We start from the raw sequence: 15,248 nt of genomic DNA, 5'->3' as shown, positions 1-15,248 counted from the left end.
TAAAGGTGAGGAAAGAAAAGGACTTAAGAGGAAAGCACAATGACTCGGCACTTACTTAATGAGATCTACAGTTTCTGAGTAGACAGAGTAAGCTGACTTGGATGACTGGCTTTCAGACTCTGTGGCAATTCCGCACTCAATGAAGGACAAGACGGCTTCCAGGTACTTAAAAGCCTTTCCAACCCTGTCCGTCTGCAGGAGAAGAACATGGTCATTGTTAGGCTGAAGACAAACCTTGATTTAGTTTCTCACCCACATTCTTTAGTGTGACTTTCCTCCACTGTCTTAGTTTAATTATGGCCAGGGAGAAGTGTGAGGATGAATGAACTAAAAATGATAACCAAAGCCTGTCAGCTATGACCTGCTGAAAACTATTTTAGCAAAAATTCATTAGGAAAAAGAAAATGATCCCGTATTAAGACCATGCTCTCAAAGCCTTATGAAAGCACATACGCAAACTAAGGCAGTAAGTACATAGTCTCCTTGTTATTAGTGTCAAATTACTCATTCTATAACTTCCTTGAGAAACAGATTATTCCACATGTCTGGAGTAATGCAGACGCATATTTCTTTGTGCGTGCTGAAGTTTATTAAAAAGAAAACACTCATCATGGTTTATGAGCATGTTAGACATAATAGCCAACAATAATTGTTATATGCATTTTACAGCCCAATAGATTAACCTCCTTTGACATCTGCTTTAGTGCACAAAACCATCCTCCGAGGCCAACAGGGGTAACATTTCAGAGTCCCTTAAAGGGAATGTAGAAATATGAACAAAATCAGATATTGGTGGTCACCCTACACCCTGAATACACACTTTGTCACACAGCACGCTTCTAAGTGGCATATGGCAAGTGCAGCTGATGACAGTGTGATGCAACTGTCTTTCTCTCTACATGTGGCGTATGTACTGCCCATGAAGACCTTGAGAGCAACTGATTAGCATTTGTAATTTCTGCTTTGTATTTGATATGTTCAAAAGGAAAGAATGAAAATAGGGGCCGGGCATGGTGGCTCACGCCTGTAATCCCAGCACTTTGGGAGGCTGAGGTGAGTGGATCACTTGAGGTCAGGATTTTGAGACCAGCCTGGCCAACACGGCAAAATCCCATCTCTACTGAAAATATAAAAATTAGCCAGGTGTGGTAGCAGGCCTGTAATCCCAGCTACTTGGGAGGCTGAGGCAGGAGAGTCGCTTGAATATGGGAGGCAGAGGTTACGGTGAGCCGAGATCATGCCATTGCACTCCAGCCTGGGTGGCAGAGCAAGACTCTGGCTCAAAAAAAAAAAAGAAAAAGAAAAAAAGAAAGAAAGAAAATAGTAAAGATGTAAGTGGAATACAAGGAGCTGGAGACACGTCAGCAATGAGAGCGGTATGGGCTGTCATGCTACTTAGGCATGCTGCTGCACTCTACACAGGGCAGAAACAACGCTTCTCCCAGTGAGCTGACAACAGAATGACTTTAGTGCATACTGTTCTCATGTTTTACCAGTAGCAGAATGAACTAGGCTGCTATACATATACACATGTAGTATACATGTATATTTCAGAATATTCAATTATTCTAACATTTTTTATTTTAAAAGGTAACTTAATCAAAAAATACTTTCTCTAGAGAACCGAGGCTCAGATTAGTGACAGAACAAAAATCAAATGAGTATTCCCCAATTAATCAGCAGTATTTGGCATGACCGGTTTGCTTCACTGATGGAACTGAATTCTCCAAATATACTTATTCAACACCATCTCTTTCATGGGATTTCCAAAGTTAATATTGGCTTTAGGCTAGAAATAAACTAAACTACAATACTGTGTAGCAATTTGTCAATATCCATTTCCTTTAGATAAGTATATCATAAGGCCAATAACGTCCATATTTCTGTGATTCCATGTATCTCCTGAAACATTGTTAAAGTAGTTTCCCTCATCACTCATCAGTTGAAGATAACGTAGAGAAGAAATACATCCCTTTCTACTCAGTTGGATAGGTAACTATTTGGAACACCAACTGCACATCTTTGAAACATTATGCTATTAAGGGAGAATATTATGGAGTGGGTGGGCCACAGGGGCTTACTGTCCAAGCTGGCATATTTTAAGAGTGAAATGGGATATAATTATTTATCAAACTGGGATGAAACAGGCATAAACCAGGACTGTCCTGGCACACTGGGATGTACAGTCACCTTAGGTAAGGAGAAAGAATGTATGCATATGAATAGATTAAAAACAAAGTTCCCTAGAGTATGAATATTACTCCTTTGAATAACGAGAAATCTTAGTACTGAAAGTATCCAATGTCAAGATAAGTTTTAGATAACTGGCTGACAGTGCGAAATATTTACTCTTTCCAAAACTCCAAAGATTCATACAGTTCCAGTAATAATCTTGGAAAAATGGAAGCTGCTGAAACCACTGCTTGGCACAATCTCAGATTCTTAATTGACTTAGGTCACCCTGGTACAGCGCAGTTTTAGGAACAGGGCTAGAGAGGCTTGTCTTTGACTATCTTACAGAATTGAGCATGGTAAGGAATCAACATTTTGCCTAATGCAAGGGTATCTGATGAAAGAGTCTGAGAAGAGATACAGGTCTGCAGATTAGGGTTGAAGAGCACCAGGCCAGGATCTTGCGGGCTGGGCCACCATGAATCAATCTGATTCAGACCCCTGTGGGTGTCTGAAATGTGTAGTTAGGTTTGCATGTGAACCAAAAAAGGCAACTCATGCCCTTCCTCTGTGTACCAAAGTTCAACATATGGCTTTCCAGGGAGGTTTTTGCATTTTTGCATTTGTGGGGATTTAGGTTTAGGAACTCACTACATAAGCAAAAGCCCCAGAGTCTTGGATATCTAAATATGACAAAGGGCAAACATTATCTCATTATTGCAGTAGTGATGTAAAAGCATAATTATGTACACAATTAACTACAAAACCACCACCTTTTAGAAAGTCCAAAAGCCAATAGGTAAAGAGAATTCATGTTTTTAAAGCATGTTTACCAACAGTATAATCATTACCTTCATCTTAAAATCTCATCTAATAGCCTAGCTCAACTCTTCCTTCAGGTCAGCCTCTGAAGGCTTTAAGATAATTTTGGAATGTAAACAGGCTTCCTGCCTTGTGAAATGTTTTAGAGTGAACACACGTTGACTGAGTTTCAACAGCAGGGCTCATTTTTCACATCCAAAGAATTGATGCAGTGGAATAAAAAGGCACCTATGCATTAAATCACCAGCAGGTAGATTAACTTTGACTTACTTAGATACAAAACTTGTGACTAGGTCCTTTGTATATCTGCCCATGATCAGACTGAATCAATGGAGCCAAAGAAAATACCACCACTAAGAACCACCTACCCCTTAATCATTAAGGTCCTGATTTTGCTGCGTGCATATGTTGTGGCCAATGGTAGGGCCCATACACTCCTTTCTCCTGCGCCTGCTGCACCCCCTCCTTCCACCGCACATACGCTGAGTGATATGGAATACAGCAGAATGGAGACTACCAAAAATTTTTTTTACTATCAGAAAACATTCTACCAAAGAGATAAAGGGCCAATACTAACCATTAACTCTGCTTTCTGCTTCATCTTTTTTGCCTCCCTCATGTGAAGGTCTGCTTGTTGTCTGAAAAAGAGGAAAAACCAGGGACAGGTCATATGAGCCAAAAATTACTAGACTAGGGCAAGATAAGACCAAGAGTGAAAAAGGATGGGAGGACAGCAAGGGGAGGAGAGAGGGTAAACAAAGAAGGAGAAGTGGAAATAAGGAGGGGAGGAGGAAATGGAGGAAGAAAGAGCAAGAAGTGGCTGGGTGCAGTGGCTCACGCCTGTAATCCCAGCACTTTGGGAGGCCGAGGCAGGCGGATCATTTGAGGTCAGGAGTTCGAGACCAGCCTGACCAACATGATGAAACCCGTCTCTACTAAAAATACAAAAAAAGTTAGCCAGGCATGATGGCTCATGCCTGTAGTCCCAACTACTTGGGAGGCTGAGGCAGGAGAATCACTTGAACCCGGGAGGTGGAGGTTGCAGTGAGCCAAGATCATGCCACTACACTCCAGCCTGGGTGACAGAGTGAGACTCTATCTTGGTGGGGGGGGGAAGCAAAACAAAACAAAACAGAGCAAGAAGAAATCATCTGAAGTCTTACTTGTCAAACTTCACTTGAGGCTTCCCTGGTTTAGAGTTACCATTTGGCAAAGAAGGCACTGGAAAAGGATTTGCAGTATCTCCGGAAGAACCCTTCAAAAAAAAAATCAATATACAGATTACACTCTAACATTTAAGACCACTGTCCTAAAAGTACCATCCCTCTTAAATAGCCCGAAATAGTAGTTTCAAAAAAGAGTAAATCAAACAATGCACAATCTACCCTGGCTAAACACTTCCTCAGCTACAGATTCAACTGAAGCGGTGGTTCTGATTGTACTGGGGACTCAAAAAGACTAGAATGTCCAAGAGATCAGAGAACTCACAAAGCCACACATAACACTTTCTCTTAGTCAATCCAAACACACCACTCCACTCCACCCAGATTAACAGGAAGAGAAGAACTTTTATTTGAGAAAGTGGATCATTTTTTCCCCACTATAACCAAGAATGAAAGTATCTGAGATCAAACATTCAAAGCAGGACTACACAGGGTAACTATTTCTTACTGTAAAACACCCTAACAAAAACTAGCACAAAAATCTATTTTGATTTTTCACCTCTGAAATCACTGTAAGAAGAATAAATCGACACCTAAATCTTTGTGTATTATTAATACCTTTTACTCTCCCTCCAAAAAGTAGCATTTTAAACACAAACAGTTGCCTCATTAAAAGCAATGGACAGTTCTGAAGTGCCATCACTAGCAACTTGTCTTCTTTGGGAACGTAAAGGTACAGCAATGCATCCCATCTTACAGAGTGACCGCCGCCCCTGCTCACCTTGTGCTCCGAGGAGCTTCTGGAGCCCTTCCCCTCTACTCTTCTCTGCTTGGGAATGGAAGAGTCTTTGTGGTTGCTCTTGGTACTGCTGGCACTTTTGGGAGGGTCCTGGCCACAGGTGTCTGCTTCCCGCCTTGACCTCTTAAGTGCAGGCTTGGCTGGCTTCTGGGAGGACGAGGACACGGGTGGCGGGGGGAGCATTTCCTTCTTTGAGGACTGTGAGGAGGGCCTGGAGGGCCTGGAGTGAAACATCACGTAAAACTAAGAGGAGGCAAAGTACACATCAAGCGGCTTCGTTGTTTAGTTACAAACTGGCTGCTGGCACAAAAGAGTAGGGTATCACAAAGCATGAAACTGTGTAAACAGGCCAAATTTCAGGGACTTTTTGAGGCATTTCAAAAATCTAGCCCTACCCATTAGTGATAAATGAAGCTGTATAGTTTCTAAGCTTGCAGAGTCTGCCAGTGGTCCTGACTTTCCCCAACCATTCCGAACGCCTGCTTCAGCTGCTTCCCAACCGGTGCCTTTCCCTGACAAGAAGACGAGTGGACACACACCCTCCACATCTGAGCCTTCCCCATCTCTGTCGGTTCCCACACGGTGACACTATGCACTTGTTTTTGCCAATACATTTTTTGAAGCAATTTCTTGAGTAAATCACAGTAAATAATAGCTGCTTGTTATATTTACGTCTTCCTGGCACTACCACTTCTCACCTGCCACCCCTCTTCCCAACAACAGACACTGAGTGGTCTGACAGATTCTCAGTCATCTCTAAAAGAAGGAGCACTGAACACAGGCTCCCGGAGTCCAAATGCTGGCTCCAACACACAGTAAGAATTCTCTGACTTTGGACAAGTCATTTTCTCTGTGTGTTTGTTTCCAATTCTGCAAAGTAGAAATAAGGGTACCTTTCTTACTTTCCCTCAGGGAAAAAAAAAATCCAGATGTCTAAAGAAATTGTCCATAGTGAAAATGTTTCTGATAAATCTAAATTTGCTGCCACATGAATTGTTAATTCCTGTAAGGTCCTCATGGATGCAAGAAAGAAAAACAAACTTATTACATTGTCCAAATGAGCTTGAGTTTATTAATCCACTGATTCTAGTGCAGAAGAAAAATTTCTTTGCTATGTCAAGACCCAAGAAGTGTTGATCACCGTAGATTAGGTGGTTGCTAATCTCTATACTCACTTTGTTTTAGAAGATTCTTTGTGGGAGGATGAAGATGAAGATGACTGTGATTTGATTTCCTTCTCCAGTCTGATTTTCTTGTTATCACAGTCTCTTTCTGCTTCACCCTATTACAGTATAATCAGCAAAGCAAATTATTACCAACATAATTGTACAGACAAAACAGAAAAGAAAATATAGAAAAGGCAAAGAGGGTAAAGGAACCTTTGGAGACATCTCTGTACGCACAGCAACCTTCTTAGTACTTACCATGTGTGTCTGTGTGTGAGTGTGATGGGGAGTGGGCAGGGGACAATGTAGATTTGATATAATTTCTATTGAGACAGATTTTTTTGCACGAAGAAAAACAATTCCTCCCATGCAAGAAAACGAAGATGCCTAAAGTAACAGACAATGCCAGTAAGTAGACTTCAATAGACCACTGATGTTTTTCTAAATAGAAAAGAATCCACAAAACATGCATATTTACATCAAATAATACAGAGATGATTTTTTATGAGGTTTCCTCCAACTTCTTTCGAAAGAACCATCCACTTAAACCCACTAGTTTATTGTTTGTATAAAATTCAAAATGGACTACTTAAAGCTTACTTTATTTTCTACTGAAAAATAAGTACAATGTTGAAAGGAAACCGTCTACAAAATCCCGTGTATTTTACAGAAAGGACTACAAAGATATATAACAACAATAGAAACAATTGCTCTGGGATTCTAGCTAACATTTTTTCCCCTCCACTGATTCAATTTTTTTAATACTGTCTTTATATCTCTCCATATACAGAAACATGTTTTTATTTTTCAAAAAACCCTGAAAAGACTGTAAATATTTTAGTGGGAGTAAGGAAAAGGGAATCTGTCACTATTGAATTTAAGTATCTCTAACTTGGTAGCTTGAAAGTAGGGTTAAAAAAAAGAAAAAAGAATTTAAGTACCTTCAAAGCATCCATTTATACCAACTAAAGTGCTAAATACATTTAATCACTAAAACAACACAGAATTCTTCCACGATGAAAGTCTTTCTTGCATTCTTGTGCCTCACTTGTTAGCACATACACCAGCTTTCTAAGGAGTCTGACATGCAGACTCCCTGACGGCCTCCTTCCCATGGCTCTGGGTTCAGGAGGAAGCCCACATACTGTCTAGCAGGTGGCAGGTAAGTGATGGGTGAGACCCTTCAATTAATTCTCATGTGCATTTAGAACGAAACTTCCTAAGTGTCAGGTCACCAAGTTAGAAATCTGGGACACCAGTCAATTTAGGACAATCCCTAACAAACCTGAAATCCTCTCTTAAAAAATAAAAAACTTCAAATTAACTGTGGGAGGTCCCAGTTTTCCTGTGTCTTCCTCTCCTCCCGAGTTTAAGAAAAATGAATAATTTAAGATGTGTAGGCTCCAAATCTGCCCAGACACCAATAAGCAGCCTGGCTCCACACAAAATAATAGAAAACAGAAAAAAAACAAAATTCCCTTCTCCTGGCATCCTACAAATCAGTGTGCCTGCATCTGCACATCCATCCAGCCCTTCACAGGCTCCTTTGGAAAAGACACTTTTATTCATTTATGCAGTGTCTTGTTTCAAAACGGCTTCCTTCAGAGTGGCTTACAAAGATACCTGTTTTTAATCTTGCGGCATGTGCACAAGTGAGAATGTTAAGAAGGGAAAATACAGGAGGAAGAAATAAATTAAGGCCAAGTGAAGGCTCGTACCCTCGGGAGGCTATCAGTTCTCACTGTCCTGCATGCTACCATCTGGCAGCTGCAGCCACAGCCACATCTAGGGAGCACCTGAACTTGAATGGTGTTAGTCTGAAATGACTTAGTAGAAAAAAGAGAATGTAATATTTTTATATTGATTTTTTTACTGATGTATAACAGACTTACATATTTTGGGAGTTGATTAAAGTAATCTTTTAGGTATACTGGATTAGATATAATTATTAAAATGTTAGGCTGGGCGCGGTGGCTCATGCCTGTAATCCCAGCACTTTGGGAGGCCAAGGTGGATGGATGACTTGAGGTCAGGAGTTCAAGACCAGTCTGGCCAACATTGTGAAACTCCATCTCTACTAAAAACATAAAAATTAGTCGAGTGTGGTGGTGCGTGCCTGTAGTCCCAGCTACTCAGGAAGCTGAGGCCAAGAATCACTAGAACCCAGGAGGTGGAGGGTGCAGTGAGCTGAGATTGCGCCACTGCACTCCAGCCTGGGCATCAGAATGAGACTGTCTCAAAAAGAATTTTTTTTTTTTTTTTTTTTTTTTTACTAATTTTCCATTTCCTCCCCTTTTATAGTTTTTAATGTGGTATTAGAAAAGTTTAAATTACATATGTGGCTTATATTCTATTTCTACTTGACAGCACAGTTCTTCACAGTTTGCTATAGACAATCTGAAAATTGGGTTCTGAACTACTAATCAGATTAGCCAATGCAAAGAAGGAATTATAAATATACTGCTTAGATAAGATAAAAACATATCAGCTACTCAGAAATGTAATAATTCATTAGAGAAGTTGGAAAAATGTACCTTGAAGGACTGAAAAGGGAGACAATATGAAATAAGCAACCGAGTTCTAAACCCACAAATGAAATGCAATAGGAAATTCTACACAGCTGTTTCTCCTGCAAGCATGGACCCATAGCAGATCCTGGAGCACAATTTAGAGTGGCCACATGCCAACAAGAAGCTTGCTGGGGCATTGCGACAGGGCTCTGCGCAGCATACAAACCTCCGTTCAACAACTCAGAGTGCTAACACTTGAGAGACAGTGAATAATGGTGGAGAGAAAAACAATCAATTGGAAATGATGGGGTTAAAATAGAACCTGACTTCTGGTACTGGTAACTCTCTTGTCAATCAAGCACCTAATTATGCCCAGGTTACCCTGTTACCAAACGGCCCAGTGAACTGTAGTGAGTTTTAGATGAAAGGCAGTATAGCCGGCCCAAGAAACATTACAAGACAGAAACTTTGTCTTTGAAAAGTCAAAATTTGCTAAAATATCCAGATCGATACTAAATTGAACATTAGGTACTAAAGTATACTTTTTTAAATGAAAGGTATTTCCAGGCAGTTAATGACACATTAAGGCCCCCAAGGCAAAACTAAGCATTAACAAGGCTACTTCTTAAAGAAAACACCAAAGTCTAGCAGTGAAATGAGAGCTGATTTTTGTTCATATAGTTTCATTTTGCTTAGGACATGCTGGTTGTGACTATAAGCCAATCTGGCAGACCTTATAGACCACACATGAAGATACAAGTCAGGGCAAATCAATCCTCACAGACTGGTTATAGCTCTGGCTGTGCCAATCGGTGACTCAAGTAGACAGCCAACAAGAGAGAATGCAGTGAGCACTAACTTCAGCGCCAGCATCTAACAACTGCATTGGCACTTACTGGAATAATATGCTTTATATTGATATTTAGCAACCTAGAAGCAGATAATATTCTATAAGCTGGTAGAAAGGAAGCCATCAAACTAAATAAAGCAAAAGTCCCCTTCTGCTGATTTTGCTTAACTGTTGAGATCAAGCCAGCGGGCATGAAGTTAGTGGTTTTTTGTACACTATGCACTTAGAACTTTGTCATCTTCTGTCTGGAACAGCCACAGAGGCTTCCCCAGAGTAGGCACTCGGTATTTGTCAGTTGGCACAGAAATTCAGCTTAACAGCTCAGGGACACAGCTGAGGGCACTGGATGCAGGACTGCATTACAACTTTAAGTGGATGGATGTAGGAAAGGGTCATTAACATGGGAGCCATGCAATATTGGGTGAGCAGAAATGCAGACCAAAATTCCAAGAACAAGACCTGCCGTAAAACAGGAGGCATGCTGTTCTTTAGATTTTTCTGGGTCAAGAAGCCATTCAGATGAGGTGATACTCTCTCTTCAGGAGGAAAAAGGAGTCCCTTTGCCCTGTGGTTTATCCCCAGGTCATCCCCACTTCAGGGAATCTGGCTTAAGGTCTGGGTTTCAGAAATTCTTTTTCTACTAGGTTAGTTGTCTCAAGGATGGTGCCTCACCTTCCACAAAGGGAGGCTGCCGGCTGACGAATTGGTCCTCACAGACTTGTTTGCTTTTCTTAACCTGTTGGGTCAGGCAGCCCTGATCATCTCTGCCAGATGCTGCTCCACCCACAGTGGAGCACAGGGCAAGAGTGAAGGCCATAAAAGGAAGACATGGGCTTGCAAGGGGCCAAGTCAGTTTCCGTCAGGGAAAGCCTCTCGGCAGGCTGCGCTGCCGTGCAGCCAGCTCACCAAGCAGACACTTGTAGGAAGCAGGGAAAAGGTGGCTTTTTCCAGAACTGACACTTATTTGGTGCCATAGAGATTCTAGCAGATGGAAAGATGTAGTGAACCAGGAGTTTGGCTGTGAAGGAAGATGGGAGCATCTGCAGGAGTAGCTAAAGTGGAGTAGGAATGTGTGTGGGCACTGAGTGGCAGTGGTGGGGGCCGTGGAGGAACCAAGCCGGGGCTGACGCGGTAACCACCTTATTCACCGGCAGCGCCAGAGCCAGTACGCCGACCTTGTGCGCCTCTTGAGAATCCTCCCAACAGACACTTGTACGGAGAAAACACATGTGAAAAAGAGGAAAGCTCACGGGACTGGGAGGAGGCAGCATGCCTGAGCTGCAGATCTATTTTTACTCAGCAGTCAAGCCATGTTAGTGCCTTTTTGGATCTCATCTATAAAAGGTGGCAGCTGATCAAGGGACCACTAAGGTTCTTTCCGCACCTAAATTCTAAGGCTCTATTATCCTCTTCCAAAAGGAAGCAAATGAGCTTGGTAGCACATGCAACACAGAAAACTGGAGAAGCAGTCTTTGGGGAAATTCAGGGACTTCCCTGTGATTCGCCTCGGAAGGAGATTCAATATGAAAAAGACACAAGGGACACCAATTCAAGTTTGTACCAAGATCAGGCCCAGGGACTTGCTGTGCAGACAGGTTATGTTCACTGGGGTGAGTGCTACAGAAAAGGGAAATTCATCCACTTGTTTTTCTCTTTGGTGAGGGAACGCATGATTCAGAACAGCCTAAGCTATCACATGCATATGGTTGTGGTGCTCTCCTCAGGGTAACTAACAGGCACGAAGAAATTTAGATGTAAGTGGCCTTAGTCAATCAGAAGGGATGAGCTTTCATTTTGAACGATAACTAGGGGTGCTGATCTGGAGCAATAACCCAAGAAAAGACAGTCAGATCTTGGATGGAAGGGAAGGACTGAACCAATCACTCCCTGCAATAAAACTGCATTTTCCTACTACACATCATAACTTCCCTTCCTCACTCTTCAAAACGCATAAATGATAGCACTGGAATGTCTTTCCCAAAAAAGTTGAAGTGTCTTGGTCAGCAAAGCGATTATTTAGAAAAAGTAAAAAAGATTTGAATGAATGCACCTCCTTATTCAGTTATTCATCTAAATGACAATTAAGACAGACTATCCTTCATTTGAAAGGAATCTGTAAGATGACTGAATGAAGTGAGGAATTATCTCTATGAGCTCCTAGAACAATGCAAGGCTCACACATGTAGCTCTATGCACGTTACGTGTTTATTTTTCTTTTTTTAGAGACAGGGTCTTACTCTGTTGCCCATGCTGGAGTGCAGTGACTCAATCACAGCTCCCTGCAACCTTTAACTCCTGGGCTCAAGTGATCCTCCCACCACAGCTTCCCGAGTAGCTGGGACCTCAGGCATGCGCTACTGTGCCTAATTTTTTTTTTTCAGAGACAGTGTCTCACAGAGTTGCCCAGGCTGGTCTTGAACTCCTGGGCTCAAGCAATCCACCCGCCTCAGCCTCTCAAAGGGCAGGGATTACAAGTGTGAGCCACTGTGCCCAGCCAGGTACATTTTTAGAGGGCTCCCAATTGCACTGGCCTGGTTGTGTATTACTGTATATATTGTGGTTCTTGAGTTCAACTTTTCTTCCAAATCTGGAAAAAAATAAGCTTGGTTTAAGAATTCTGAAGAAGAAAACATAGGCCAGGCATGGTGACTCATGCCTGTAACCCCAGTGAGGCAGGAGAATAGGGTCTGGAGGCAGGGAACCTAAGGCCCACCCACCCTGACTGGATATAAGATATAACCCCTCCTTTTTCTGTGTGGAAAATGAAAGTAACTCTGATTGGTCCCCCCTACAACCAATCAGACTAGTCGTGGACCACTAGAGTGAACCAATGGGAAACCAATGGGAAACCTCTAGAAGGCATATAAACCCCAGAAGAACCAGTGTTCCTGAGCCTCTTGCTTCAGCCGGCTCCCACCCTGTGGAGCATACTTTCATTTAAAATAAATCTCTGCTTTCACTGCCTTGGTTTTTTGTGCATTTTGTCCAATTCTTTGTTCAAAACACCAAGGAGCTAGACAACTACCCTCAACCAGTAATGCCACTGCTTTGGGAGGCTGAGGTAGGATTGCTGGAGGCCCAGAGCTCAAGACCAGCCTGGGCAACAAAGTGAAACCCCATCTCTACAAAAAATAAATTAGCTGGGTACAGTGGCATGTGCCTGGAGGCTGAGGCAGGAGGGTCACCTGAGCCCAGGAGTTTGAGGTTGGTGAGCTATGCCACTGCATTCCAGCCTGGGCAACAGAGCGAGACCCTGTCTCTAAAAAATAAGTAATTAACAGAATAGTCTCTAAGCTAAAAATAAAAAAATTTTAAAAGAAAACATAAGTTGGTATTAGAAAATCTAAACTGTAATCAGACTGATGAAATTCAGTAGTTTATGTAAAGAACACGACGTGAGGTCATGCGTATTTACCCTCACAGTTTTCTCTACTTTTCCTCATGCATTGTTCCTTACCCACTGTTGTAGAGTAGTAAAAAAACGTGTGCATTTCTATAGGTGCCATGTCTAATGGCTTCATCACAGCTGTTAGCCATCATTAACTCTTTATGATCATCTTCATACACTTTTAAGTCTGAAGTGGATTCAAGGATCTGTAAATCTTCTGAAAGAAAATATTTGGCTAAATTTTGTGCCAAGAGAGGGACAGACTCTAAGAGGCCTTTAAATAAAAACACTAAATACCACTAATGTGAAGGATCAAGCAAGTTCTTCTATTCCTCTGACTATATGCTCAGAGTTTTTTCTAATGTTCACATTTAAAATGAACACAATGAAAAATATCTTCATTATCCAAATGTGAGCAGTACCCAAGCTTCACAGCCCTGTCTCTGCCATGGAGAGCAGGCCCACACACTGCTGCCTGCTGGAGCAACCGTGCTGGTCACAGGGCCAGAGGCAGAGAGCCCTAACAAGCAGTCAGGGCGCTAATGAGGAAGGGGGGACAACCTGTCCTCTACAGAAAATAATGAGATTAATATGTTCAACAACTCCCATCCAGAATCCAGCAGGAAGTTAAACCAAACGACACATGATTCTCTGACGAAGAAATAAGAATACGGTTGACTGGTTTTTTATATTTATTTACCTGAAAGCTTCTAATGTTTCTAACTAGTGACATATTTCAGGCCAGGAATTCTGTTTGCCTAGATCATGATGTCTAAACACTGCACACTTGACCAACTTTGGATCCAAATAACTAGCTTTGTATGCTCTTGGGCCCTGCAGTACGGCTCTGCTTCAGTGGTTTCCAGCCCTGATAGGCACTAGGATTACCAGAGGAATTTTTAAAATACCAATGGGGGTTGGGGATTCCCGTCATCAGTGCTAAAGGCTACCAGGTGAATGTAATGTGTAGCCGGGGTTTGGAACCAGTGGGTCAGACATCAATCCTGACAGTACCACGGAGGCAGACTGTTCCCCAGGCCAGATCTCTCAGCAGCTTGACAGCGCTTTAAAGAAATCATGCACTCGATTAAGATGAAGGGATCACTATTTCTGCATGCTCTAAACAGAAAGATAAATAAGCTGCCCAAGAGGTGCTCAGCCAAAACCTGGGAACGGCTTATAGAGGGCACAGTTCCCACAGTCAACAGTGAGAGCTGAAAGTTTCCCTTTCTAGAGCCACAAGCTGCACTTCTAGATTTGCACTGGGGTATGAACTGGACTGAGCTCTCTGGGGGATCCTCCGGGTTCTAACATTGCCACCTGGTAGGTAATCCTTTCAGAAGTGAGTACCTGTCCCCACTCCAGCTAATGCAGACGGTCAGCACTGGAGACCACACAAGACCACAGCAGCTGGGAGACAGGTGAGAGATTTACCAGGACAGGGAGCTACCTGAGTGTGTTCCTGAAGTTTTCCCAGGTGTATCAGCTGCAGGTATCTTTTTCCTAACCAGGTCCATCACAATTTTCTCCATAAAGTTTTGTACCTTTCACACACATACACACACACACACACCCCACCCCATCCCATACAAAAAGTTTAAAGAAGTTTCTGGCATGAAAATATGCCCTCTTCTAGCTGAGACAGAGCACTTACTAGCACTGGATCCCATCCCACTCAACTTGCCTGCTGCAAACATGGCGGCAATACACATCCTTTAGTCTGCTGCAAGGAGGTTCTGAAGAAAGCAGTCGCCCTTTACTATTCGGTAAAGTCGTGTTATATTTTTAACGCACTGGATTAATCAGTCAAATCTCAGACATGACAGCAGGCTTCATAATCTTTTTTTCCTTTGTTATTCTTAGCTCAACTTCCACAGCTGAGTAAGAAGTTTTTCACATACTTACAAGAGTGTTAAAAATTTTATTCCTTCTCAGCAGGAGAGAGTTGGCCCTTCTTGTGACTTTGTCTCTGATTCTTGGGCAAGTTGGCTTGGGAATGCTACTGGGGAAAAACTCACTAATCTTTCATCATCATGAAAAAGCAACAAACAGAACAGGAACTCAAGTGATTCAAAATAAAAGGAAGGAGCCTGTCTAAAACAGTGGCATGTTCAAGTAACAGACAATCTTAAATAATGCAGCAATTTTGTTACTCTGTCCATTCTGTATCCAAAAGAATCTTCCAAAATTATAATAAATAAAATGATATGGTCAACACTTTGCAACGTGCCATTATCAGCCTATATTACTCAATGAGACACTAACCACATGTTAGTAACTGTAAAGAGGTGTTGTATGGTCATGCGTTAAAATATGGATGTGATATTGGTATAAAAGATCCTACTATGAGAGTAAAATTTGTATAGAGCCGTTCTTTT

The 15,248-nt window shown here is 42.0% G+C and overlaps 1 protein-coding gene across 14 annotated transcripts in view, besides 1 other annotated feature; it reads right to left on the bottom strand.

The window, feature by feature from the left end:
• The window catches only part of AFF1 (ALF transcription elongation factor 1), a 206,029-nt gene that overhangs the window by 9,765 nt on the left and 181,016 nt on the right, over positions 1-15,248 (bottom strand). For all 14 annotated transcript variants that reach the window (XM_005263007.4, XM_047415702.1, NM_001166693.3 and 11 more), the window contains 5 exons: positions 6,132-6,238; positions 4,939-5,176; positions 4,158-4,249; positions 3,572-3,632; positions 56-192 (listed from right to left, as the gene is read on the bottom strand). In XM_005263007.4, coding sequence (XP_005263064.1) covers positions 56-192; positions 3,572-3,632; positions 4,158-4,249; positions 4,939-5,176; positions 6,132-6,238 — 635 coding nt within the window. The remainder of the gene's footprint in view (positions 1-55; positions 193-3,571; positions 3,633-4,157; positions 4,250-4,938; positions 5,177-6,131; positions 6,239-15,248) is intronic.
• Positions 10,569-11,144: an enhancer, noted in NCBI's record as "H3K4me1 hESC enhancer chr4:88041283-88041858 (GRCh37/hg19 assembly coordinates)". NCBI's record gives its function as "activates a minimal SCP1, AML or CMV promoter by ChIP-STARR-seq in naive H9 embryonic stem cells {active_cell/tissue: H9 hESC(naive)}" and the evidence as "EXISTENCE:reporter gene assay evidence [ECO:0000049][PMID:30033119]".

This window comes from Homo sapiens, chromosome 4 (genome assembly GCF_000001405.40).
Source record: "Homo sapiens chromosome 4, GRCh38.p14 Primary Assembly".
Taxonomy (NCBI): domain Eukaryota; kingdom Metazoa; phylum Chordata; class Mammalia; order Primates; family Hominidae; genus Homo; species Homo sapiens.
This window is presented reverse-complemented; position numbering and strand designations above follow the sequence as displayed.